The 25,148-nt window shown below is 41.2% G+C and overlaps 1 protein-coding gene across 25 annotated transcripts in view, besides 1 other annotated feature; it reads right to left on the bottom strand.

Annotated features, from left to right (window-relative positions):
• The window catches only part of DOCK3 (dedicator of cytokinesis 3), a 709,272-nt gene that overhangs the window by 154,294 nt on the left and 529,830 nt on the right, over positions 1 to 25,148 (bottom strand). For 24 of the 25 annotated variants that reach the window (XM_005264914.4, NM_004947.5, XM_006713010.4 and 21 more), the window contains 7 exons: positions 21,043 to 21,131; positions 15,658 to 15,783; positions 4,132 to 4,256; positions 2,460 to 2,622; positions 1,817 to 1,923; positions 1,073 to 1,244; positions 296 to 393 (listed from right to left, as the gene is read on the bottom strand). In XM_005264914.4, coding sequence (XP_005264971.1) covers positions 296 to 393; positions 1,073 to 1,244; positions 1,817 to 1,923; positions 2,460 to 2,622; positions 4,132 to 4,256; positions 15,658 to 15,783; positions 21,043 to 21,131 — 880 coding nt within the window. Of the gene's footprint in view, positions 1 to 295; positions 394 to 1,072; positions 1,245 to 1,816; positions 1,924 to 2,459; positions 2,623 to 4,131; positions 4,257 to 15,657; positions 15,784 to 21,042; positions 21,132 to 21,836; positions 24,202 to 25,148 lie in introns of those variants that run through there. The other variant, XM_011533441.4, reaches the window with a different exon arrangement.
• Positions 2,681 to 3,880: an enhancer, noted in NCBI's record as "BRD4-independent group 4 enhancer chr3:51263456-51264655 (GRCh37/hg19 assembly coordinates)". NCBI's record gives its function as "activates an origin of replication core promoter dependent on BRD2, P300/CBP, MED14 and CDK7 cofactors, and independent of BRD4, by STARR-seq in HCT116 cells {active_cell/tissue: HCT116}" and the evidence as "EXISTENCE:reporter gene assay evidence [ECO:0000049][PMID:35650434]".

Genomic DNA, 25,148 nt, shown 5'->3' with positions numbered 1-25,148 from the left:
GCTGAGGGAAGGTTGTGGTCATTCTGCAATCATTCTACTTTGTGAACATATATTCTGCACTGTTAAAACATCATATTGTATCCCATACAGATAAATAATTATTATTTGTCAGTTAAAAATAAAATAAAAAATAAAAGCATACCAAAAGAGGAAAAGGAAGCTAACAACAACAACAACAACAACAAAAATCTGATGAAACAGTCTCAGACGGTTATTGGCAAAAATCATGACAAAGTAAGGTCTTCTGCCCAGATTCTTCCTCATGCAGTATGTTTAAATTATATGGAAGACATACCTTAACAATTTCCTCCCCACTGACATGCCGCAGCCGCCCTAGTACATCCATGATCCGGTCGGGGAAGGCTTTCCACTTCAGCAGAGCTAGGAGGTCCACTAGAAAGCAAGCCCAAAAGATGAGGAACCCTTGAAACCTGGATATTCTTTTTTTTTTTTTTAGACGGAGTCTCACTCTGTTGCCCAGGCTGGAGTGCGGTTGTATGATCTCAGCTCACTGCAACCTCCGCCTCCCGAATTCAAGTGATTCTCCTGCCTCAGCCTCCTGAGTAGCTGGGATTACAGGCATGCGCCATCATGTCCAGGTAATTTTCGTATTTTTAGTAGAGATGGTGTTTCACCATGTTGGCCAGGCTGGTCTTGAACTCCTGACCTCAAGTGATCTGTCCGCCTCGGCCTCCCAAAGTGCTGGGATTACAGGCATGAGCCACCGCACATGGCCAAACCCTGGCTATTCTAAGGTCAAGCAAGGCCCAGACTCTCCCAGTCAAGGACAGGTGGAATCTAGAGGAACAGAACTAGCTGCAAGCATCACCACAGACTGAGTCTAAGGCCAAAGACTCATCTGTAAACTCTGGATGTACTGTGGAGCTACTAAAACCATGAAAAACCTTGTAGGCTGCTATTGCTGAGTGATCGCTTCAACTTCAAATGAAAAGAAGCCCATTATTATGGCATCAAGAAGGAATAATTTATCTCTCCCTTCACATGCGCTAGTAGTGTGGAGTGAACAATGGAGGAGGGTGGAGGGCACCACCCTGCAGGCATTATCACCTACCATTCTGGGTGAGTTTGGTAGAGGAGAGCTGAGTGGAGATGAAGAAAGACTCTTTGGTGCTGCGCTGGAAGATGAGGCTAGAAGGAATATTAGGGCAGCCATTGTAGTCCTCTTTGCAGCAGGGCAGGCCCAGGTACAGAGCATGGTTATTAAACGTGCTATTCTCATCACACTGTAGGCAAAAATGGAGAAAAAAATGTCCCCTGAGCCATGCAACATGCAAAAACCAGGTCCTAGGAATTTCTGGGCTGATACTTGCTCTCATCTTCCTAAGGCTGAACGTTGGGCCTCAGGTCCTCTTGGAAGAGTACTTTCTGTTCAGAAACTCCCTAGAACAGCTCATGTGCCTTTTAAACAGAATATGGTGGGGCATGTGGTTGCCACCTGATGTGCAAGTAACCTTGGGTGGCAGCTATGCTATGACAGTTGACAGTACCATGATCTCAAATAGCAGGTCTAAGAATGTACTAAACAAGACCACAATGGCAATGAGGGGTTGGTAATGGATTTCCATCCAGTGAAGTGAGAAGTAGAAAACAAAGAACCTGTTGGCGTTACTTGTGGGAGGACGGCCACCGCACTTAGAAGACAGAAGCCTGCCCACAGATGTCCCACTGTCACCCACCAGTGCACTTCCCTTGGTCTTCTGGCCTGCCCAGTGAAAACCACCTAACTGAGAACCATGTGTGAGAGTGGCCTCAGGGCAGGTAAGGGGTGGGGATGAAAGGCAGCTAGGCTTCATACCTTGTACACATAAAGCTCGTGAATATCATCTGAGAGGGTGGTGCCATCATCACGCATCAGGGTTGAGAATGCAAAGCCAAAGAGTTTCTTTTCCCCTTTGTCCTTTGCTGTAATCAGAGCCAAGTATTAGTTGTTTTTTGCCTTCCACTCTGCTTCCTCATGGAAATTCTCCTTGTGCTTATCACCTATGCTCTTTTGTTCCTCGCCTCTTTCATTAACTAGGTGGCAACCTGACTGCAGGAATGATGAGAAATGTGCTGAAATGAGTTTCCATTCATACTCAAGGCATATAGGCTACCTAGACCCAAAAAGAAACTAAATTGCTGGTCTTGATGAACTAGGGTCTCTTTAATAAGCAGTTTAATAATGGTACAAAGGAATACTCAAAGGAGAATGACAATGGATAATAATTTCAGACACTAGGTCAGACACCAGGAAGGGCCAACACAAGACTTTGTGGTTTTGAATCACTGCTTTTATAGTCCCAAGAACAGCCTCTGGTGACATCCCATCTCTGAGTAGCTGTTTATTCCTAACTCTTCATTTTCTTGCCCAAATAAGAATCCACTTAATTCTGTTCAAGAGAGGAGAGAGTTATATTTATATTCTCAAGGGAATGTGGAGGGGGGGAAGTCTAACTCACTGGAACAATGTCTGAACTCAAAGCGCAGGTGGGAGCCCCGGAACCGGTCAATGGGGATAGGCAATTTGATAATTTCTCCCCAGCGAGGACTATTACTGTGGTAGAGGACAAAGGAGTGGTAGGAACTCCTATTTGGCTCTCCTGAACCCAAGCTGATGCAATCCTGGAAGAAAGAAACAAAATAAGATGTCATCTTCCTGGTAGGAATGTCTGGATTTCTGTGTCACTAGGACACTTTTCTTTCTCTTGTCTAAAGGTCTCATTTTTGCTCTAAGCAAAATCTATGAGATAAGAAAATGCATTTGATTTAAATTCAATGCTTTTGGAAGCAGTTACATAGATGGTATATGAAATCAGCAGTCACAATGCTCCTTGTTTTCCTTGGGGTGAACGTAACCACATGTACTCCTCAAAAACAGAGAGAAGCAGGGTGGTGCATCTAAATCACCAAGGTAGGCTCCTCATCCTCACTAAGAAGAGAAACAACAAGCTGCATGAGAAAAGCCAACTCTATGTAACATTTTACCAGATCAGAAAAAAAATTAAATTACAAAGTGGAGACAGCCTGTTTTCTAATTGTCCTCAGTCCTACATTGGACTGGCATTTTAGGTCACCCCTGGCTGACTTTCTTTAGATATAAACAAGTTAGTCCAGATTTAACTTAACCCATCTCCCAAATATTGCCATGAAGATGCTGTCTCAGTACTGCCCATGCCCTTGTCTGGACAACAGGAAGCTTTGGGCCACATAAGCCAGAGTAGGTCCCTGTCCACACAGGGGTGATGTGATCAGCTGACCATTCTCCTGCCACTGGCATGCTCCATGCAAACAGTGAACAGGCTTAGGTTTTTGAGTTAAGTTTTTAAAATGACATACAAATCGTTGTTTCTACTACTATTTCAACATTCTCCTCTATTTCTGTCTTGATTTGGGAAATGATTTTGACTAATTTTACCCTTTTCCTCTGTCAAATGGGAATGATCATTCCTGTTCTATCTCACAGGGCTGCTGCCAACACACAGAAGCAAGGTTCGTACAACACCGATTTGTCTTCTACAAAGTGGGCTGCAAATGATGCCTTGTTATTCACCGCAGACTTTACCATGACTAGACTGAAGAAAAAACTCACATGCAACAGAAAAACAGCACTGAAGTCTTCATTTTCAGTGAAGAATAACAGAGGACACTTGTACTACATTGGCTTAAATCTTCCACGGCCTGAGTCTGCTGTTCTTTGTCCTATAACTTGGTACCAGGAAGTGATTGTCTAAGTTCCACACTTGACCAAAGTGTAAATATAACTTTCTGTATTAGCTCAAGGAATAAAAAGGCAGAATGGGACCTAATAACAGTTACCAAAAGTAGGCAGCTCTATGCTAGGTGGAATGACAGGAGAGGTAACATGTAGGATAGAACTAGAGGGAATAAATCTAAACTGGAGCAAGAGGGATTCAGGTCAGACACTAGGATAAATTTCTGCAATGGCTGTACAATACTGGAAGTCATTATCAAAGCACACTTTAGAGTTTTCTTCAAGAAAGAAAAAGGCAGAGAAAAAGGCTGATGGGGTGATTTTAATCCTGCTTGAAGAGAATGGGCCTCTGGATAAAGTCCACAGAGAATTATTATAGGATTATCCTCCAACCCAAATGACTGACTGGCAAGCCTTACCTTCAAGATTTCTCCATCTGCATAAAGCACATACATGGTCACTTCAATATTCTTTTGTACACTCTTTCCTCCTCTCTCGAAATCCCCCTTCTCCAGGGTTAGGTACAGGTCATTGCGGATATCACCTGCGGGGAAAGAAATGCCACATCCTTATGACTCCAGAAGCCATACTGCCCCATTTTCACAGAGAACTAGGCTAGCATTTGGATCTTCTGGGGCTTGGGTGGGTGTTCAGGGCATTCCAAGCTTGGTTAATAATGATGGACATTCTACCAGTATCAGTGCAGCAGCACCCAGGTTGGTTAGTCATGTGTTCTCTAAGTCTGAATTCTAAAGATGTTCACCACACCTTGTCAAGGGTGGAGAATCTTTCAGATTGTAGATGCTCAGACTGCTCAGTCTTTCTCCCCTCCAGGAGAATGGCTGTAATCTAAGCCTCCCAAAGAGGGAAGATTCTAGAATCAAAAGGAATAACATTTTAACATGCCTATGTCTTAACTACTAATCCCTCTTCTTTTCCCTCAAGAAGGGTTTCTCTTTTATAGATTTATACTTTTTATATGCTTTCTTTTTGTAATCCCCATCCCTTCTGAGTCTGACTAGAGGATATATTACTTTTCCTTCCTCCTGGAGGCTTTGTTCCAAATCCCATTCCCTGCTGGAGTGACAGGTAGAGGTCACTGGACTACCTGTCGCTTTTTCTTCTTTTTGTTTGCAAGTGCACTGGGAGATCACTTGCCAGAAGCATAGGTAGTAAGGCAATGAGGCAACAACCTGTTGTGCTTTTTTGCTTCCCTGTGCTCTGACCAGCCCAATTTGCCCAACTCTGTTGTTCAAGACTGGAGAAGAGAAGCTCAAACTTCAAGTCTAAAATGACCTAAGTTACATCTTCCTTTTTAGGGTGATGAGTTGAGGGGAGACAGCATTGCCTGTTCATGTATAAGAGTGTATTTAGGCTGCTCTAAATTCCTAAACCTTTAACATGACCAGTTTTATTCACATGAACTAAAGAAGGGCTTCTGACTTAAAAAAAAAAATAGTAAAACGCTGTGGGGGCAACAAACTTCAAAGGGAGAAAATGGCAAAGGAAAATGGGTAAGACCAAAGTGAAGATGTGTTAGCAGCCTGAAGAAACCAAATGAGAGGTAATGAAACAACAGCAAAACATGCCAATTCAGAAACCAGGTAATTTTTTCTACTTCAGTTCTTAGAAAAACTAGTACATTCAAATATGTTACCACCTGGAATCATAATGATAGAAGCAGGGTTTGTTTTTGGTTAGCAAGTGGGCTTTCTGGTTTGGTCAGAGATAAATGACAATGCTCTCTTTTTTGCACTGACTACCTCTCTAATAATGGAAGCATCTGAGCTTCTCTCATGCATGAAACAGGAATAGACCAGGACTGGCACATATTTGAGGATTTCAGGGTCTTCGTGACTAGTCCTTCCATTATTCAGGTCATTTTCCTATCCCAGGTATGCAATCTTGCAATCATGGTTATTTGGTTGCATAATGAAGGTTCTCAAAATACTGTGGCTAAAGTGGGTAAGAAAAGTTCATGACAAGCAATTAACTATTCCTCAAGAGCCCTAAGAACTTTCCCTAATGTGTGAAAGCCATCTTCTTTCCTAAACAAGCAACCTTGAGGTTACCATGAAGGAAGAAGAAAATGTGTTTTGAAAATCATACCAAAATGCCACTGTTGCATATGTAGGATATCCTGGAGGACCACATCTGCACAAACCCTTGGATTGGGAAGTGCCTCTGCTTTGAATTCTGATGAGTCTGGAATCTTAATCCGCTTCCTTTGGACATTGCTGCTTGGGCCCTCCTGGTACATTATTTAGAGCACTCAGGTGTACAGGGTAGGTTTGGGTGGGAAAGACAGGTAGAATGAGAAAGGAAGCTCAAATTCATCAGTCTGCTACTGTCAGGACAAAGGCTGAATAAAGTCAGTCCTGAAAGTAAAATCCAAACTTAACAGAACTTCACTATGGCTTATTGCTATTTTTCTTCATTTTAACTTTCTCCTTTAAAGTCAGGTTATTGCTATTATGGTGGGATAAATCATAGTTATACCTGGAATTTTTAACAATTGAAACAGGCTTCTTATAAAAGTCTTTTAATTGCACATTAGTTTTCCTATGGAATTTAAGTAATACTTAAATTTGTAGACTGATATAGCACAAGGTGAATAGTCTAGATTTTTTTTATTATTTATTCTAAAATTTTAATTTTTATCCTTTTCTGAGTCAAATAGTCTAGAAAATTTTAATGCTTAATCTAAAGAATAGGTGCTTCATTTAAATATTACCCTGGTTTGAACTCTCTGGAAGTTATTCTGAAAATAATCTATGAGGCTTTTAAAAGCAGTTATCTGTTGGCTACCAGCAATATTATTCTAGGTTATACAAACGTTTTTAGTTTCTGTGGCTCTATACACAGGTTAATCAATAAACATGTCCTTCAAATGAAACATTTTCAAACTTTTCCTAGTTATATATTATATAAAATACTAATATAAAACTAGGGGCTGAGCATGGTGGCTCATACCTGTAATTCCTGCTATGGATTATAAGGAGGCTGAAGTGAGCACATTGTTTGAGGCTAAGAGTCCAAACTAGCCTGGGCAATATAGTGAGGCTCTTCAAAACAAATTTTTTAAAATTAGCTAAACATGGTAGTGTACACCTGTAGTCCTAGCTACTCAGGAGGCTGAGGAGGGAGGATCGCTTGAGCCCCGGAGTTTGAGGCTGCAGTGAGCTATGATCATGCCAGTGTACTTCAGCCTGGGTGACAGAGTGAGACATTGTCTTTTAAAAATAAATAAACAGATAAATAAAATTAGTGTCTTAGAGATTGTTAATGACAGAATTTGATCTGTGTTGACTATACAGAGATATGCTCACAGTTTCTGGGCAGAGCATTTTAAGGTAAAATGCCAGTTTCAAAACGGAAGGATTAAGCTACATATTCCTGTAGTTTTCATTTTTTTAAAAAACAGAATGCCTTTGGTGATCATCTAGCTGAGAAAATTTATCAATACAAGTAATTGTACCCTCTGAGTTACAGACTGAAGCAGTTTATTTTCATCAGGTCTTTAGCTGCTCTTTATTTGGAGAACAGACCTGCCTAGCTAGACTAGAACTATTCTCAGTCAGGTTAGGTATTAGGCTATTGGGCTTATGGGTTGCAATTATGCGATTATGGTTTCAATTTCAAGAGTGGCAATTTGTGAAAATGAATGTTGCTGGGAGGGAGAGGCTTCTTGTCAAAATCTCTCTGGGGGATCACTTCAATCAAGCTCTCCACGAATTCTCTTGGAACTAGGAGAAAGCATAAGCAGAAGCAAATGTGAAAAGCTCCAGGGATCTAATGACCCAGGCCTGCCTGCCTGCCTTATAGATAGCCTTCCATGGTTCCCCCACTCTTCAGCTGTCCCTATTGCATGTTACGTGTTCACAAAACCTACCAGTGGGATCATGCCTCTGGGTTAAGGCTCTGCTTCCAAGAGCCTCCTGTAAACTCTGGCACCAACTGCCAGGAAATATTACCAGGAGAGAGAGGCATGAGGGCAGGCACATTACAATGAAGATGAGAAAGAGAAAGCTGGAGCAGTGGTTTTGGAGGTTAGTTTGCATACCAGTGCCTGGATGATTGTATTCGAACCACCTGGGGAACTTGTTGAAAACAGATTTCTAGCACTCACACCTTGAAATTCCAGTGGGTCTTGTGTACATATATTTTTTAAAAAATCACCAAGTGATTCTGATGTTCTTCATTATTTAACACTAGGAAACCAGAATATGGAGGTCTGCTGGGAGGACGTTGATGGAGTTTGGGTAGGAGTAGGGGACTGGGCAGCTCTTAGGCAGCATGCAGATGTGCTGAGAGGGTGAGTCTTTTCTACAAGAAGTAGGAGTAGGTATTTCTGAGGGTAGCCCTGATGACGGGTCTCTCCTTTAGGAAGGACCTTGGGCAGCCCTGACTCCCTTTGTTAAGTGCCCTCTGCTTCCTAAGGTTGGCAGGGCATCTTACAGCATCAGTAATGCCTTACATTGAGTGCTTAGTGCCTGGGTGACATCCAACAGAATTTCTTGAATGAAGTGGAACGATTTGAGTTTTTTTTTATAAGAGGGTCTCGGAATAAAGTATCTGTCCCTTTTACAGTCTCACAGGATCTGTTGGTACAGCTGCACTCAGAAAACTGGGCACTTAGGTTTATTGGAGTTGACAAACCTTTTCTGTAAAAGACTAAATAGTAAATATTTTAGGTTTTGTCAGCCACATATGTCTCTGGCAGTTGTTCTTTGTTTTTACAACACTTTTAAAATGTAAAAGAAAAACATTCTTCACTGGCAAGAAGTACAAAAATAGGCTGTTGGCTGGATTTGGCCCATAGGCTATAGTTTACTGATACCTGGCTGGGAACGTTTATGTGTGAAGAACAGCCACACTACACTGCAACTGCACATCAAAAATACAGATTCCTGTGCACCTAGACAAACAGCTACTGGGAGAAAGCAAGGTAATGAACCTGGGGCTATGTTATTATGACAGGGATTGGCCTGGAATACTCAGAGGTGCTTATGGAGTGAGCGATCTTAAAAGTAAACAGTGCTGTTCAGCCACCAGAAATCTTAACGGGATAGATAGGGAGCACTGTCACAGACCAGTGACAGGTCTGACCCTCTGAAGACCTGTATCCTAGTGACTCTGGAGAAACAGTTCATGATGTGTTTGCAGATTTCTTCTGAGAGTAGTCTCAGAGGTCTCCCAACCTCTGAAGTCCAGCTCAGGCACCAGAACATTTGTTAGCAAGAGAATCTCTTGCCAGATACTCCAGTACTACTTGGAATTTGGGGCCAAATGTTTCATTAGTGCTAGCCCATGTGGAATTCCATCCCAGCAGAAATAATGTGCGAAGGCCCAAACAAGTTTGGCCAGTCAAAATCTGATATGAGTTCTTTATTATATTCACATTCCTTCTGTATAAATTACTCACACTTCATATTAGGAGGCTCTGGGTTCAAGTATTTTATATATATATATATATATATATACACACACACACACACACACACATATATATATATATATATTTTTTTTTTTTTTTGAGATGGAGTCTTGCTCTGTTGCCAAGGCTGGAGTACAGCGGCACAATCTCGGCTCACTGCAACCTCCACCTACCGGGTTCAAGCGATTCTCCAGCCTCAGCCTCCTGAGTAGCTGGGATTAAAGGCTCCTGCCACCATGCCGAGCTAATTTTTGTATTTTTAGTAGAGATGGGGTTTCACCATGTTGGCCAGGCTGGTCTGGAACTCCTGACCTCAGGTGATCTGCCTGCCTTGGCCTCCCAAAGTGCTGGGATTACACACGTGAGCCACCGCACCCTGCCCAATAATATTTAATACTATATTATTTATACCTTGTCTACTTCTAGATAGGATTAGGAGGGGTTTCTACAGATGTGCTTTCTCTTCCTTAAGATCATGTAAGATGAGAACTGACTTTCTTTCAGTACAATTGGGATGATGCCAAGCCTATGTGTTGGAAGAATAGAAGGATGTCTCCTAACAGCATACATGGAAATGTAGAGATGTTAGCTACCATTCAACTTGGATGGTTTTAGGTATGCAACCAATGGAGTAGTTCTTATTTACTTGAGGAAGAGACCAAAAGAAAAAAAAAGGCTCTTGAGAGGACTTCTTTAGAGTACCCAGGAAAGAAGGATTCTTTCTTCTTCTTACCATGTCTTTGGTGTCACACTTCTGGTTTCCATTGCAACAAAGTCAGTGATGCTCTTTGCTCTAACAGGATGAGAGGTATGGGCATAGTGTGACATCACTATAGATAGTTTGTCCTTTCTTGAGTCAGGGATGTGATGATCTTCCAACCTCTTTTGAGACTAGATGTGATTATTCTTAAACCATCCCTTAGATACACTGCCATAGCCTCATTTGACACTCAGATTGACCAGCGCTATGAACCCACTTGTGGTAAATAATGTCATTGCTCCCCTTGAGGAAAGCTTTCTTCCAAAAACCATATCTCTGTTGGTTTGCCTTTTCATGTGAAGTATGTCCCACAAAGCCAAAAAGAGAAGCTTTCCACCTTTCTGATTCTTTTGGCTTGGAGTAAGCACGATTCCTTTTCTTTTCAATGAATGCAACTGATCAGTCTCATACAAAAATAGTTTCCTGTATCTATACACCTTAAGCTTGTTAAGATTTTCTAGACATTCCAATATGTCTCCAGTTTCTTCAGATCTTAGTGAATACTCAAAAGTAATACACAGTGTTATAGGATGGGCTGGTAGCTTTTCTTTTTATGTCTTGTCAGTTACCCAAGAAGGTGAGGCTGATGAGGATTATTAATATGTACATGATACCCCACCCCAGTATTGCAACATTCCATGAAACAAATGAAGATGAGAACAAAGCAGGCAATAAGCAGACAGAGCACACAAAAGACAGAACTTACACCCAACTATCTTCATCTCTGCGTCAGAAAGAAAGGGGCGAAAATGAAGGGACAGCACAGAGAAAAACAAGAACAATTAAGACAAACACGAAAAGAAAGAAACATCACTTGAAGGTCAGTGATGAAACATGCACATTTTTGTCAGGAGTCAAAGAAAAGGACAGAGTGTGTTTCTGAGCACAAGGGGAAGAGTCAGAGGGTCCTCTAAAAGGATGCTATGCCTATATAGCTGCCTTCTAATAGATATGTCCAAAGGGGAGCAGTAATTGAGTAAAGGGAATCAAGAAGGAGAAAAACATCCATAAGCAGAGTACTCTCTATGACATGGTTCTCAAAGGAGGTTCCAGACCAGCAGCATCACCATCACTTGAGAGCTTGTGAGAGATGCAAATTGCCAGGTCCCACCACAGTCCTACTAAGTTAGAAACTCTTGGGGTGGGCCCAGAAATCTGTGTTTTATGGGCCTTGCAGGTGATTCTGAGGCACACTGAGGTTCGGCAACCACTGCTTTAGGAAAAAAACTTAGTCATCTATTAGAACAACATAATAAATCATAGATGGACTTCTTATGACAAGACAGAAAACCATTTAATATGTAATTTGGCTCATATCACCTACAATCAATGATAACCTTAGAAATTCAAGTCTTAGAAAATAGGTTAAAACATTGTACTTCCCAAAAAACCACGACAAAGCCCTTTATTTCCACTGACTACAGGGTACAGACTTTCCAGGAAAGCAAAGAAAGAGAGCCATGGCAAGTGGTAGCACATCTCTGCTGGCTTAGACATGGTCTGAAGAAGGGTACGGTCCCTTCTTGAGCAAGAGGTTTTTTGTTTTGGTTTGGTTTTGGTTTTGAGACAGATTCTGCTCTGTCACACAGGCTGGAGTGCAGTGGTATGATCTTGGCTCACTGCAACTTTTACCTCCCGAGTTTAAGCAATTCTCATGCCTCAGCCTCCTGAATATCTGAGACTACAGGTGAACGCCACCATGCCCGGCTAATTTTTGCATTTTTTTTAGAGATGGGGTCTCACCATATTGGCCAGGCTGGTCTTGAACGTCTGGCCTCAGGTGATCCACCTGCCTCGGCCTCCCAAAGTGCTAGGATTATAGGCGTGAGCCACTGTGCCTGACCGAGCAAGAGGTTTTATTTTATTTTAATTTTTTATTTGAGATGGGGTCTCGCTGTCATCCAGGCTGGAGTGCAGTGGCGCCATCTTGGCTCACTGCAACCTCCGCCTCCCAGGTTCAAGCGATTCTCCTGCCTCAGACTCCTGAGTAGCTGGGATTACAGGCGCCCACCACGACCCCCGGCTAATTTTCGTATTTTTAGTAGAGATGGGGTTTCACCATGTTGGCCAGGTTGGTCTTGAATTCCTGACCTCAAGTGATCTGCCTGCCTTGGCCTCCCAAAGTGCTGGGATTACAGGTGTGAGCCACTGTGCCTGGCCTGACCTAGAGGTTTTAAATCATTCCTTTCAGGTTATACTCTTTTGGCTAACGGTTTTCTTTAAAGTTTTATTATAGCTAATTCTGACACAGGAGTTACAGAAAACAATGTTAACATCCATTTGTTTACCTGGAACACCTGGCCTGTTTGTCGTGCCTGCCCATCTTCTTAAAAAAAATCAAGAAAAGGACTAAAAGTGTGCCATAGAGTTATTATTAGCTTTTGTACTTTAATAAAATGAGTTTGGAAGGAAAGAGAAAGTATCCACTGAAATATGGTGATCAACTAACAAAAGGTTACATGTTCAGTTTTTTAAAAAATGGCTAAATTTCTCATATCTATTTGTTCTTCTATAATCTAAGATGGTACTTCCTGGTTTGGCTCCCAGAACACCAGCAGTATCACTGTTGCCTCTTGCTCATTATCATGGGTCATGAGCAGAACTGAATGGCTGTGTAGTCATGGCCTCAGTTATGGCAGAGCAGAATATCTCATGCTCACATCATCCCTGTGATATGTATGTACACTCTCATGGAAAGCAATGGTAGAATGTCAAAAAGATCTTTTTAGAAATCATATGTTAGCTACTGGTGTGGCTAGAGCCTGTCTGAACTCTCCCTTACAGCTCTGCCAGTATGCTTTGACAAGGACCTATCTGGGCCATCCTGACCAAAAAAAAAAACCTTTCCAAATGAGTGTTTGATAGTTTCTGCCAAATGCTGGATAGTTTTAAAATAAGGATCACAGTTTATGAATACTTCTAATTTTTCCATTTAATTTCTCAGACTTATCATGCTATCATGGTCACAGTTACTGACATGATTTCCTTCCTTCTTATATCTCCACGTGTTCATGGGTCAAGAAGATGAAGTTGCAATTTCTTGTAACTTGGTCACACCAGCACTGTGAGAGCTGAGGGACTGCTACAATTCAAGTAAAACACTCTCACAGATGATGGGTGGACTAGCTGCAGGTAGAGATGTGCCCAGGGTTTGAAAAAGACTCCTAAGGACTTCTTAACACAGTCACTGTTTCCCAAGACAGGCTGACCACAATGTAAAACACTCCTGCACACTTTTCCTGTTGATCCAATAGGACCTGCAGGTACAGTCCTATCACTTTGCCCAGGGACTGCAAACCTACTCTTGACAGTATATTGGGGCATATTAAGGGGGAAATGCAAGTTGCTAACAGCCCACAACCCTGGGAGTGGCCACCTGTGCAAAAGCTCTTTTCTCAGGAAGAGAATGGGTGGAAGAGGGGGCAGATTATGCAAAAGGACTGCTCTGCCTATGAACCAGTCCTTACTTTCGGCTACAGCACTCAGTACTTCAAAGGCAGGCTCACAGCCCCACCCTGGGCCTGCCAGGACTGCCCAGTATCTCTGCCTTGTGGGGAAAATCATATGATGATCCCTTAGCTGCCCGGAGGAGGGAAAACCCCCTTAACCTCAGCTTGCCTCACCAATGCTTGAAATTACATATTTCCAGAGTCATGTCTAGCTGTGTGCCAATGATATGAAGAGATGCAGAGTATCCTAAAAAAGATTTCTTTCCACAGATGAGGTTTTGACAATGTAACTTAAAATCAAATTTTGCTTAAATACATTTTTGACTGAAGCTTGTTCCTTTCTAGTCTCTGATCACTTGGTTTTAATCCCAGAAGTATGTGAAGACTATCACGAAGGTAGTATCCAAATCTCAGAAAAGTTCTCAAGAGAAAGGAAGGACTTTAAGTATATCCCTTGGAATATACTCCACCACATAAGCCTAGATACCTAATTTTTAAAAGATCACCAGGTCAATTTTGGTAACTATTTATTCTTTTTTCAATTTTGGTAACTTTTTTTTTTTTTCATAGTCAAGAAGCCTGACTATGCTTGGGCTCTTTTCCTAATTACCAGCCCAGAAAGAGCTAAGAAAGGTGTCATGACAGGATGGTAGAAGTGTCCTGTGGCAGTCATTACCCCTACAACAGCTTTCATAAGCATGAAGTCTCCCTAGCATTTAGAGAAAAACATAACTGATCTACTAGCCTACATTTCCCATCCAAAAGACTCTCCTGTGTGTATGAGTAGAAGACGAAGGCTGTGTGTAGCAGCTTGCTCTGCATTTACAGTGTCTATGGAGAGAGAATGAAGGTGACAGAAAATAAATCTGGGCATAGCCTGGAAAGTTGGAAGGCAGCTGGAACCCACCACATAGGCCTTCTCTATGCCCAAGCTACCCAACTCTTTGTGTATGTGCTGGCAAATGCTTCCAACAAGAGAATTCAGTGAACCACCATGAAGAACTCCAAATAAGTGATATTTAAAGTGATCACAATCAGTTCAGTCTAGCCTGGTCTGGCCTGGCCCTTTACAACAAAAGCAAATAAGCTTTTAGCAAAGCATTAAAACTCAACTGAGGCCAGGCGCAGTGGCTCAAGCCTGTAATCCCAGCACTTTGGGAGGCTGAGGTCAGGAGTTCAAGACCAGTATGCCAGTACTGGATCACTTGAGGTCAGGAGTTCGAGACCAGTCTGGCCAACATGGTGAAACCGTCTCTACAAAAATTACAAAAATTAGCCAGGTGTGGTGATGTACACGTGTAGTCGCAGCTACTCGGGAGGCTGAGGCAAGAGAATTGCTTGCACCTAGTGGGTGGAGTTTGCAGTGAGCCAAGATGGCACCACTGCACTCCAGCGTGGGCAACAGAGTAAGACTGTCTCAAAACAACAAAAAAACTCAACTGAGAGGGTAGGTCCACTCCTCCTAGAATCTATCCAGATAACCAGACATTTACCCATTCTAATCTCCTTTTCCTTATTTGCATCTTCTCTGCTTATCAGGACACCTAACATCCATCTGAACCATGCCTCTACCCTTTCTTCACTCCTGATAGCCCCCTTGGCTCTGATATCCCATTTGGATCCACTTTTCCAGCCCTACCCATGTCTGCCTAATTAGAAAACAAGAACCTGATACTGACCTACTGGGACCACAGTTGAGGGTCAATGCATTCCCAATTTCTGCCCTGGCTCTCCACGGGGCATTAGATGAAATGGGTGATACAATTCCTGAGAAGCTGGCCAGGTAGTGGTATATTCACAATGTCTAATTTATACTATTTGCCTGATCTATTTTTCTGATACATGAAAATGGAAATGTATCTGCTATTCCTACACATATGGGATTCACTGATACTACAGGCATATATTTTGATATATTCTTCCCCTTAAGCAGTAAGTTCTTGTGAGACAATTATATTCTAAGAAATGTGATAGGATAGTAGAGTATAAAAACTCTCCATGAAGGTTCCATATTCACTTCTACCATCACTTCTACTTCATGGAAGACAACAAAGCCTATCTGCTGGATTGTCATGTTGCACTGGTGAATGTAATGTAGGGGCTTCTGGAAAAGAACAAATGCCTATAAGAGCCAAAGGGCCATTGACTGCAGACTGCAGTAAGCAGCCTGACTTGGGATGTGGGAGATTTTAATAGCTGCAGGTCTTCTCCATAGCACAGTTCACCACCTGCTCAGGAGGGGAGCACCAGATTCCATCCTAACCCATCTTCCTTCCCAGCCCCAAGCAGTTCTGCATACCTGGCATAATGACATCAGGAAATCCCAATTTTCTTGTAATTGCCAATCCCCTATTAAATATCATGGGATTTTCTCTCCGAATCTGTTCCATGTCTCCACGAAGAAGCTGCAGAGAAATGATAAGACCTGCAAAAACAAAAGCATTTTCTTAGAACCACAGTTCTACCCTGTTATATAGTACTTGAAAAGACACAGTCACATTTTCCAGAAGAAAATGTGCAAAGTTCAGCAAAATTCTTGAGAAAAACTTTTATGCAGACAGTATAAGTTATTTTGAAGAAACATTTTGGAAAGCTAAAGAAATTTAAGTCAAAGTGACCCCAATAACCCAGAGAATTAGTCTATTAAACATAGACTGAGGTCTGGGAGATTGAGTTGTCTTTCCCTCTGTTCCCCAGCGTCCAACTAGGGTCCAGCTGGCCCTTGTGAATATTGAATGAGAGGGTTCAACTACATAAGTTGTATATTTAGGAACCTAGAGAAATCTAAAGACTAGAAACAAACATGACCAAAGAAGACCTTCAGTCAGGCCATCCCAAATATGAGAAATGAGCAAGCTAAGATGTGCTGTGTTTTATGCTAGGAGTATGCCAAAGTGTGGGAAGTAACTTTCTAGTTCAATCTTGCACTGGCTTGCAACAGAGGAGACATCACATTCTGCAAAGAAAAGAGGGCGCTTTTGTGGGACTAACTAAGCCTTGACTCCATGAGGATTTCAGATCCTCCACATGATCTTTAATCAAAACTTGGGAGTATTTGTAATATCCCCTCAGGTGAGCTGCCTTCTGGCTCACTACTTACACCCTTGGAGTTGTGCACAAAGTTAGAATCTCCTGAAATTTCCCCCTCCACACCACCCTCCTGAGGGTCCCCGCTGCAGCTACTGGCTAGAAGGCTGTAACAGTCAAGCCTGTATGGAATTAGGAAGTGTTACCTCTATAACTGTGAATGGGATTAGCTGTTAACAGGATGAAGAATTTAGGTGTTGATCTATGGGTTGACAGGAGGCGTCCTCACTGGTCTATAAGCTTGGGAGTTAAATGCAGCTGAACAATTATAGAAATGAGGGAATAAGGTGTTATGATAATGAATACAATTAGAAGAGTAGTAGCTGGAATGGAGATAGTAACAAGCAGAATTGTAAAATAAGAATGGTCTAGGAATGGGGAGGGAGGAGGGAATGGAGAAGTAGATAAAGAGAGAAGTCAGATAGAAGAGTTACAGATATTTTATTTGGCAAGAAAAGTATGTCAGTAGCCAGGAATTTGTACTCTCAGAGCTGGGCCAAGGGAGGAAATACGGTTCTACTAGAGCCTGGACAGAACCTCATAATTATCTCGTTGCTTCTGCTAAACTCATGCTTTCCAAGAAACTTTGGGATTACAAACATGGTATCTCAAGTGTCATTAACACCAGGATCACAGTGCCCTGAAAAGGCAAACATACAGTATTCCAGTTGGCATTCTGGTTAGATAATCAGTGTTTAAGATTTCAACCCCTCTAAAGTAATTATCTTAAGCCTAATCACTGGTGGACTAAACCGCAATTAGTTTATGAACCTGAAAGCCTGGGAGCCAGAACCAAAACCACAATAATCTCTGTAGAGAACAGCTTGGGATATATCTGCCCTCACCTCATAACCCTAACTTATTCATCTTTGTTGTCTTTACGTAGCTATCAAATCATATCCTCTGGGTAAACAGAAATCCACTGACTTAGGAGACAGCCCAACATGAAGCAAATAGCTGGGGATGAAAGTCTCCATAATTTGAGGGGGTTGTGGTTGGAAGGCAAAAGCAAAAAAAAAAAAAAAAAACAGTGGGTGTACTCTAACCATTCTGCATTGGCAAGGGTTTAAGTACTCACTGACTGCCTTTTGTCTTTGCATTTTCTGATCAACCAAAATGGTGTACAGAAGCAAAGTGAAACTCATGAAGATGTTCACTAAAGGTGCTGATAGTGTCACAGTTAGCTTTTGAGCTACCCAAAGGGATCCTGAAGAGCTGCTCTCTACTTCTAAACATAACAAATAAGAGAAAGCCTTCAAGTTTATGCAAGAGATCAAATGAAAAGGCATGCAAAGAATGAAAGAAATCACCAATGGAGGCTATAAAAGCTGTATGTCCTTTTGTAGAGTTGAGATCTTGGAACTTCTGGGTTTCCTTCCTAGTTCTGAAACCCTGGGTGACTGAAGCACATACCAAATAATGCTAAGGCATGATTCTGAGCACAAGAGAGCCTTCATGAATAGTTCAGTAAAGTGACCCACTCGCTCACCCAGTATGCAACACCCAGTCCCTTGGCAACACTTGATGTTCTACCTGACTATCATCTCAATGGGGCCCTCAAATCAACCCAGCCATCCCATTACTGGGTACATACCCAAAGGATTATAAATCATGCTTCTATAAAGACACATGCACACGTATGTTTATTGTGGCACTATTCACAATAGCAAAGACTTGGAACCAACCCAAGTGTCCATCAATGATAGATTGGATTAAGAAAATATGGCACATATATACCATGGAATACTATGCAGCCATAAAAAAGGATGAGTTCATGTCCTTTGTAGGGACATGGATGAAGCTGGAAACCATCATTCTCAGCAAACTATCGCAAGGAAAAAAACCAAACACTGCATGTTCTCACTCATAGGTGGGAAATTGAACAGTGAGAATACTTGGACACAGGAAGGGGAACATCACACACCGGGGCCTGCTGTGGGGTTGGGGGAGGGATAGCATGAGGAGATATACCTAATGTAAATGATGAGTTAATGGGTGCAGCACACCAACATGGCACATGTATACATATGTAACAAACCTGCAGGTTGTGCACATGTACCCTAGAACTTAAAGTATAATAATAAAAAAAAATTAAAAAAAAGAAAGAAAATAACAAAGTCTATACAATTTCTCTGTTAATCTGGTCTCACTGATTACCTGACACAAGAAAACCATTTTCTTACTGAACCTCTTATTGGATTAAAGACTGACCCATAAAAAAAGTAACTGGACAAATCAACACCTGTGTAAAATATTGCAGGGTACCAACTTGACTCTGTTCTTGTGCCCTACCTCCCCCACCCCTCCTTGTGGAAATGCTGGATGAGGATTAATTATATAAATTAATGTCAGCCCAAGATATGGAAATAAATTGTAGTTAACAGTCATTTTAAAATAAACAGAAAACTTGTGTGTCAACTGCTTTATCTTCACTTGTCCTTAATGCTCTTCATGCTACTACTGGAACTGTTAAAAGTTCAGTTTGTAGCTACATATCCAAGGCCAACAATGGAAATGAAGAGCCACATCTATTAAAGTTCACATAGAAGAGTTGCTGCTGGATGATACATTTACTCTCAGCACTCAAACCCAATGTAGCAATTGCTTCTGCATTTTTAAATTATGTGACTTGAAGGAAAAGCACTAATGACTTCTGAAACAGAACTGCAAGGCAATGAACTGTCCACAATATCTAACAAAGATGGGTAAAAGTTTATAGCAAAGTAAACTAATTTTTAATAAAGATGTATCTTTAATTAAGCAGACTAATAAAGACCTGAAATATTCCTTGAGCAATCTATAAAATTCTCTGACACAAAGACCCCAGAGTCCAGCAGTAGAAAACTCATGCTCAGAAGCTTGGCAACTGAGTAGAAAGGCCAAAGGCCTGGAGTCTGGAGACCTGGGTTCTATCCTTGTTCAGCCACTAAGTCATTTTGCTGAGTTTCAGTTTCCTCATTTATTTAACGAGGGGGTTGAAACAGGTTTTCCAAGGTCTCAACTAGCTTCTAACATACTTCAAAAAGCAGCAGCCTGTTCCTCCTACTGACTTTTCCACAACTACACAGAGACCACCTCTCACTACAGCCATCCTAACTGAGGCTCTCTGAAGTCTGTGGTGCCCCACAGTGAGATCTTTCTAACACTGTTTAAATGGCAAGTGTCTGTGAGTTCTAGACAAAAATCAGACACAGAATATGGCACAGTCCCTGCTCGCTCTGGGGAGCAAGACAAAACTCATCATCTTAACCTGGTGAAGCAATGGTAGAAGTTGCTCTTTCATGAATTAGTACTATCATCTCTCTTTTAAAATATTCTCTATATGTTTTAATCACATTATGTCCCACGAACGTGTAGTCAAGGGCACCTCTTTATAAATCAGATAAGTAAATAAACCAAAGAACATGACAAATATTGATGTGAATAGTAGTTTCCCAAATTGCTAGTAACTTTCCTATATTTTTAAAACAAAATTTTATTTGTCTCTTGCTTTAGCCTAGATTTAGCACACTGCATGGAGCTACTTGGCATCCAGGCACATGTATAAGGGAATACTGTCATTTAAAAATAGTGAGAGGCTCTGAGATATCCCCCAAAACCCCACTAGGGTTTTAGAGGAATCAAGTTGTTACAACTGAAGGTCTCAATCTTGGCAGCCTCTGGTGTGAATCTCCTCTAAGGATCCTCCTAGTTGAGTATCTGCTCACCCCAACAGAGAAAAAACAAAGTTTTCTACAACATGTACTACTCTTTAGAAACTGCTTGCCTCTCAGTGACTTTACACTGTCATTTAAGGACAACTTATAATTTCCAACAGGTCTATGAAAGTTAAAACAAAGAAGATTATGTAAAAGAGGTTATAAAATGATTTAGAGGTAAAAACTGTCAGGAGTAACCTGGTTCTGCGTAAATTAGATAGCTATCTGCAAGGGTCTATAAAGGCATATAGGCTTTTAAATAATGCTTCTAATTTAATCAAGCATTAATGAACTTAGAAAACAATATAATATGTAGAACTGCACTGAGATTATATAGAAATTATTTAAACAGAGTTTTTACAGAAAGGAAGGGAAAAGGAAAAGGAGAAGTTGAGCTAAGATGAAGCTTCTTTGAAATAAAGATTTTCCATTCTAGTTTCAGAATGACCGATACTGGCAGACTAATCACTGATTCTCATTATGGTCAGTCTTTCAGAAATAGAAAGAGAAGTGTGTGATGTCTATATCTATATAGATATCTAGCTATATAGAGATAGAGGTATTTATTTGGCTGAGTATAATCTTTGTTTAGGCAAACATAGACTTCACAATGTAACAAACCCTGCAACATTTTTGCTCACTCTGGATTTGAATTGGAACTCGAGTTACCTATCAACACATATGGAACTCATCATAGAAAAAACACAAAATGTATTTTGGTCAGCAGATATTAGGGAAGGCCTCAAATTATTACAAAAAGAATGAGTAGGAAATGCCTCGGCAGGAGAATAAATATCTGTAGGGAATACAGCAGCCAATCTGCACCAACCAATCTAAGTGCTGTATGAGTAGCAACTACAAATGTAACACAAAATGTTCTAGTCAGAGAAGTATCTCACCATGGCTGGCGCTGGGGGCAGAGTACTTGGCACTGGACTTTCGGATGATGTTCTCGTGGATCTGGGACCACTCACTCTCGTTGTTGCACCTGTAACAGAAGGACAGGTGTTATGGTACTCAAGTATTTTAAACAACTGGTCTGATGTTCCAATGTGTAACACTTAAGTTCAAAGGGAAAAGGATCCCTCACTTTCCTAAAGAAATGATGTTCTGTTTTACTAAATTAAACAAGGCTCATTTCCTATTAAGCAGAAAACACATACTTGGGCAAAGGATAGAAACTCTAAAATGAATCCCTACAAACATTTAATTGGCAAAATTCCTCCTCTCAGAAGTAACACTATCCCACATGAAAAGTTGTTTCTTTTCTATCACCCGTTGCATGCATGTGCACAGACATATAAACAGGCCCCAGAGGAAAGTTCTTGATAGAGGAAAAACATCTCCTCTCAACAAGTACTACTGTTTAGAAACTGCTATGGCATTGGTTTTTTACTGTCATACAACTGTCATTATGACTGGCCCCAATGGAAAGCCCTGCTAAGCTAAAAGCAATGTTGATACTATTTGCATGAAGCTATGTTTTAACCAGACCAAGTTAAGAAAAGCTTGTGAGAGCAGTGGGCTTGATTTACCATGAAGTCTTCTGTGGTCAGGGGGAAGGAGGACTTAGCAGACAAAGCTGGATGCCTAAATGTGTAAGAATAAAGTTTCTTCCTAGGAATAAAGCTCCTTCCTTGGAACTATGGGATTGAGACAAAATAATGGAGGAGTAACAGTGCATTTCTCTCACATTCTGATGTTTTAGTGTCTTCCTTCTAAAGGTCAATTCCCGGAGAACTGCAACCACGTAACCATTTGGAACAAAGTTTAGGAACAGAGACTAGGAATTCCTTATCCTAGTACAGACACCTTGATAAAACAATTGGAAAAAGATTAGGGTCATCTCTTGAAAATTCCATTTGACACTTAGGGAGTTCCCACAGCCCTGGTTCTACCCCGTCCCCTGTTGGTTAGGAAGGTATGGATATACCTATCCCAGAAAATAGGACCCATGCAAAAAGGAGAACCCATGGAACTTTCCATGGATTACTCAGATGTGTCCAGTTCAGCATGGCCACTTCCAGGAGGAGACCCCAGTAAGAGTTATAGAATGTGCCATCCAATAGTATGAAGCATTTCAGGTCTCTAAATAAAAAGGGTTGGAATAGAGGCCACTCAGAGATAAAGGAGGTCAGTTACTAGCTTAATTAATTGTTACCCAGTCAGTGGCTCTTTGGACTCCTTGGCCATAAAAATATATCTCATTTACTCAGAGCTGTTGTGATGAATGGTTAAAGGAGGTTCTCACAGCCCAGGGCTCTGAGAATAACTTTCTGCCTACAGAATTTCTTCCAAATAAGGAAAGAGGGAAGAGTATCCTTTAAAACAATCTCTTGTGATTTAGCAACTTAGCAGGAAATTAAAAGCCTTGAAAATTACCTCCCCTACTGAATGGGGTAATTTCAGTTTTTCTCCCATAAAATACTCACTGGTACCTTGGTGGTATGGTGGAACTGGAGCTTTGTTAGTCCTATCAACAGTGGCAATCTGCATTATTTCACTCACATCTACCCCTCCACCCAACACATACAATTCATTTGCTAGACAACTGACAGCCTGTTCCTGCCATTCCTCTCCCCTTGCATACCCCTTACGTATTTGTGACCTTCACAGCTCTGCCTTCAGCCCATTTCCTTCTTACCCTACAAGCCTTCCTGGGCAATCTCACCCATTCCCATAGCTTCAACCACTACCAGAGGCTGCCAAGCTCCAAAGCATTGTCTCTAGCCCAGACTCATCCTAAGCTCCTGATCTACAAGGCCAAGAAAATTCATTTCTCCCCAACCTGGCTGTACCCAGAGATGCCCTCTCACTGAGAGGAACTCAGTAGTTCACTATACCCTTCCAGCATTCACCATATCCTACAGATTTTGCAATCATAAAATCTCACATTTGACTTCTCCTCTTCATTGTCTTGGTTTGGTCATTATCATCTCTCTTCTGGACCGGTATAATAATCTTCTAATGGGCCTTTTACACATCTTGCTTTCCAGAATGTCAATTTGGTCATATGGCCACCCTTCTTAATGCCCATCACAGGTTAGAGGTCGAACTTTTCAGCAAGTCATTTAAGGCAGTCTCATCAGGGTCCTCTCTGACCTCTTCAGATCTCTTTTACATTGAAAAAGCCTACAAAGACTCTACTTTATTAATGGTATTTCTTGCCTTTCTTTCCCCGTCTCTCTCTTTTTTTTTTAAAGGATTCAGTTCAATATTGCCTTTTCTATGAATCCTTTCCAGCTTGCTCTATTATTCTCCATTCTCAACATCCCTACCTTAGACCTGACCACTACTTCTTTTGGGTCTTCACTGAATTCTGATTTCTAGAAGAATACCTATTATATTTTAGGGCACCTATTTGTCACTTCACTCGACTGCAAGTCCTTAGATGATAAGGACTGTGTCTTGCTAATCATCTCCACCATGTAGCAAAACTTGTAGCACATAATAAGTGCTTAATATAATATTTGTTGAACAAATAAATGGAATAATTGCCAAGGTCAATTGGTTATTTCTTATAGCTTAAATGTTGCTAATTAAAACTTTGCCATCATTCTGCATCAGAATTACATTACACTAAGGCAGATATTGAGGAAAACATTCTGCATTATGGTCATCTTATGAAATCATTACTAGATTTATCTTAAGAGGAAAACAGTAAAAGAGCAGTGAAAACAATCACATTTCTGGGGAAAGTAAAGGAAAAATGAATGGTCATATTTGTGCCTATTTGAGTCAAGGAGGATGGGAGCACCAATGGCTGGAAGTATGCTTGAAAGAAACTCCTGGTAGCTTCAAAGGAAAGATTGTTTGAAATCAAATGTCATGCAGATTCATTTGCAGATTGCCAAGACTGAACTCTCGAAATTTTGCAGTCTACTCATGACTGGCTATAAAAAACATTTAGCTTTGCAGAACTGCCAAGTTATTGTTACAAAGGCATCAATTTACCTTCAATTACCAATGCTTCCTTTTATTCTCTTAATACAGCACTTGCTTTCAAATACTATATGCTGTTAACAATGAATTCTTTCTTTCTATCTATCTATTAACTGATCTATACAGGGTCTCACTGTCGCCCAGGCTGGAGTGTAGCGGTACAATCACTGGTCACTGCAGCCTTCACCTCCCCAGGCTCAGGTGATCCCCCTACCTCAGTCTCCAGAGCACCTGGGACCACAGGCACACACCACCATGCCGAGCTAATTTTTGTCTTTTTTTTTTTTTTGTAGAGATAAGGTTTCACCATGTTGCCCAGGCTGGTCTCGAACTCCTGAACTCAAGCGATCCTCCCGCCTTAGCCCTCAAAGTGCTAAGATCACAGTCATGAGCCACCACACCTGGGCCAATTGTTCAGTTTTTAAAATTATTCTCTTTAGTCCTAACCCCATCAAAGTCTTCATCATTTCATGCCTCTCTATCTTACTCTTCCATTCTTTTAGCAGCATCCTCGTGTTATACCTGATGTAGTTATTAAAGGCATATTTAGGTAAAAGTGCTTTCTAAATCCTTAAACCTCATACTGTGGTGATAGATGTGGACCTTCTTTTTCTTTTTTTTTCACTGTATTTATTTATTTATTTATTTTTATTATTATACTTTAAGTTTTAGCGTACATGTGCACAATGTGCAGGTAAGTTACATATGTATACATGTGACATGCTGGTGCGCTGCACCCACTAACTCGTCATCCAGCATTAGGTATATCTCCCAATGCTATCCCTCCCCCCTACCCCCACCCCACAACAGTCCCCAGAGTGTGATGTTCCCCGTCCTGTGTCCATGTGTTCCCATTGTTCAATTCCCACCTATGAGTGAGAACATGCGGTGTTTGGTTTTTTGTTCTTGCGATAGTTTACTGAGAATGATGATTTCCAATTTCATCCATGTCCCTACAAAGGACATGAACTCATCCTTTTTTATGGCTGCATAGTATTCCATGGTGTATATGTGCCACATTTTCTTAATCCAGTCTATCATTGTTGTACATTTGGGTTGGTTC

This window comes from Homo sapiens, chromosome 3, assembly GCF_000001405.40.
Source record: "Homo sapiens chromosome 3, GRCh38.p14 Primary Assembly".
NCBI lineage: Eukaryota > Metazoa > Chordata > Mammalia > Primates > Hominidae > Homo > Homo sapiens.
This window is presented reverse-complemented; position numbering and strand designations above follow the sequence as displayed.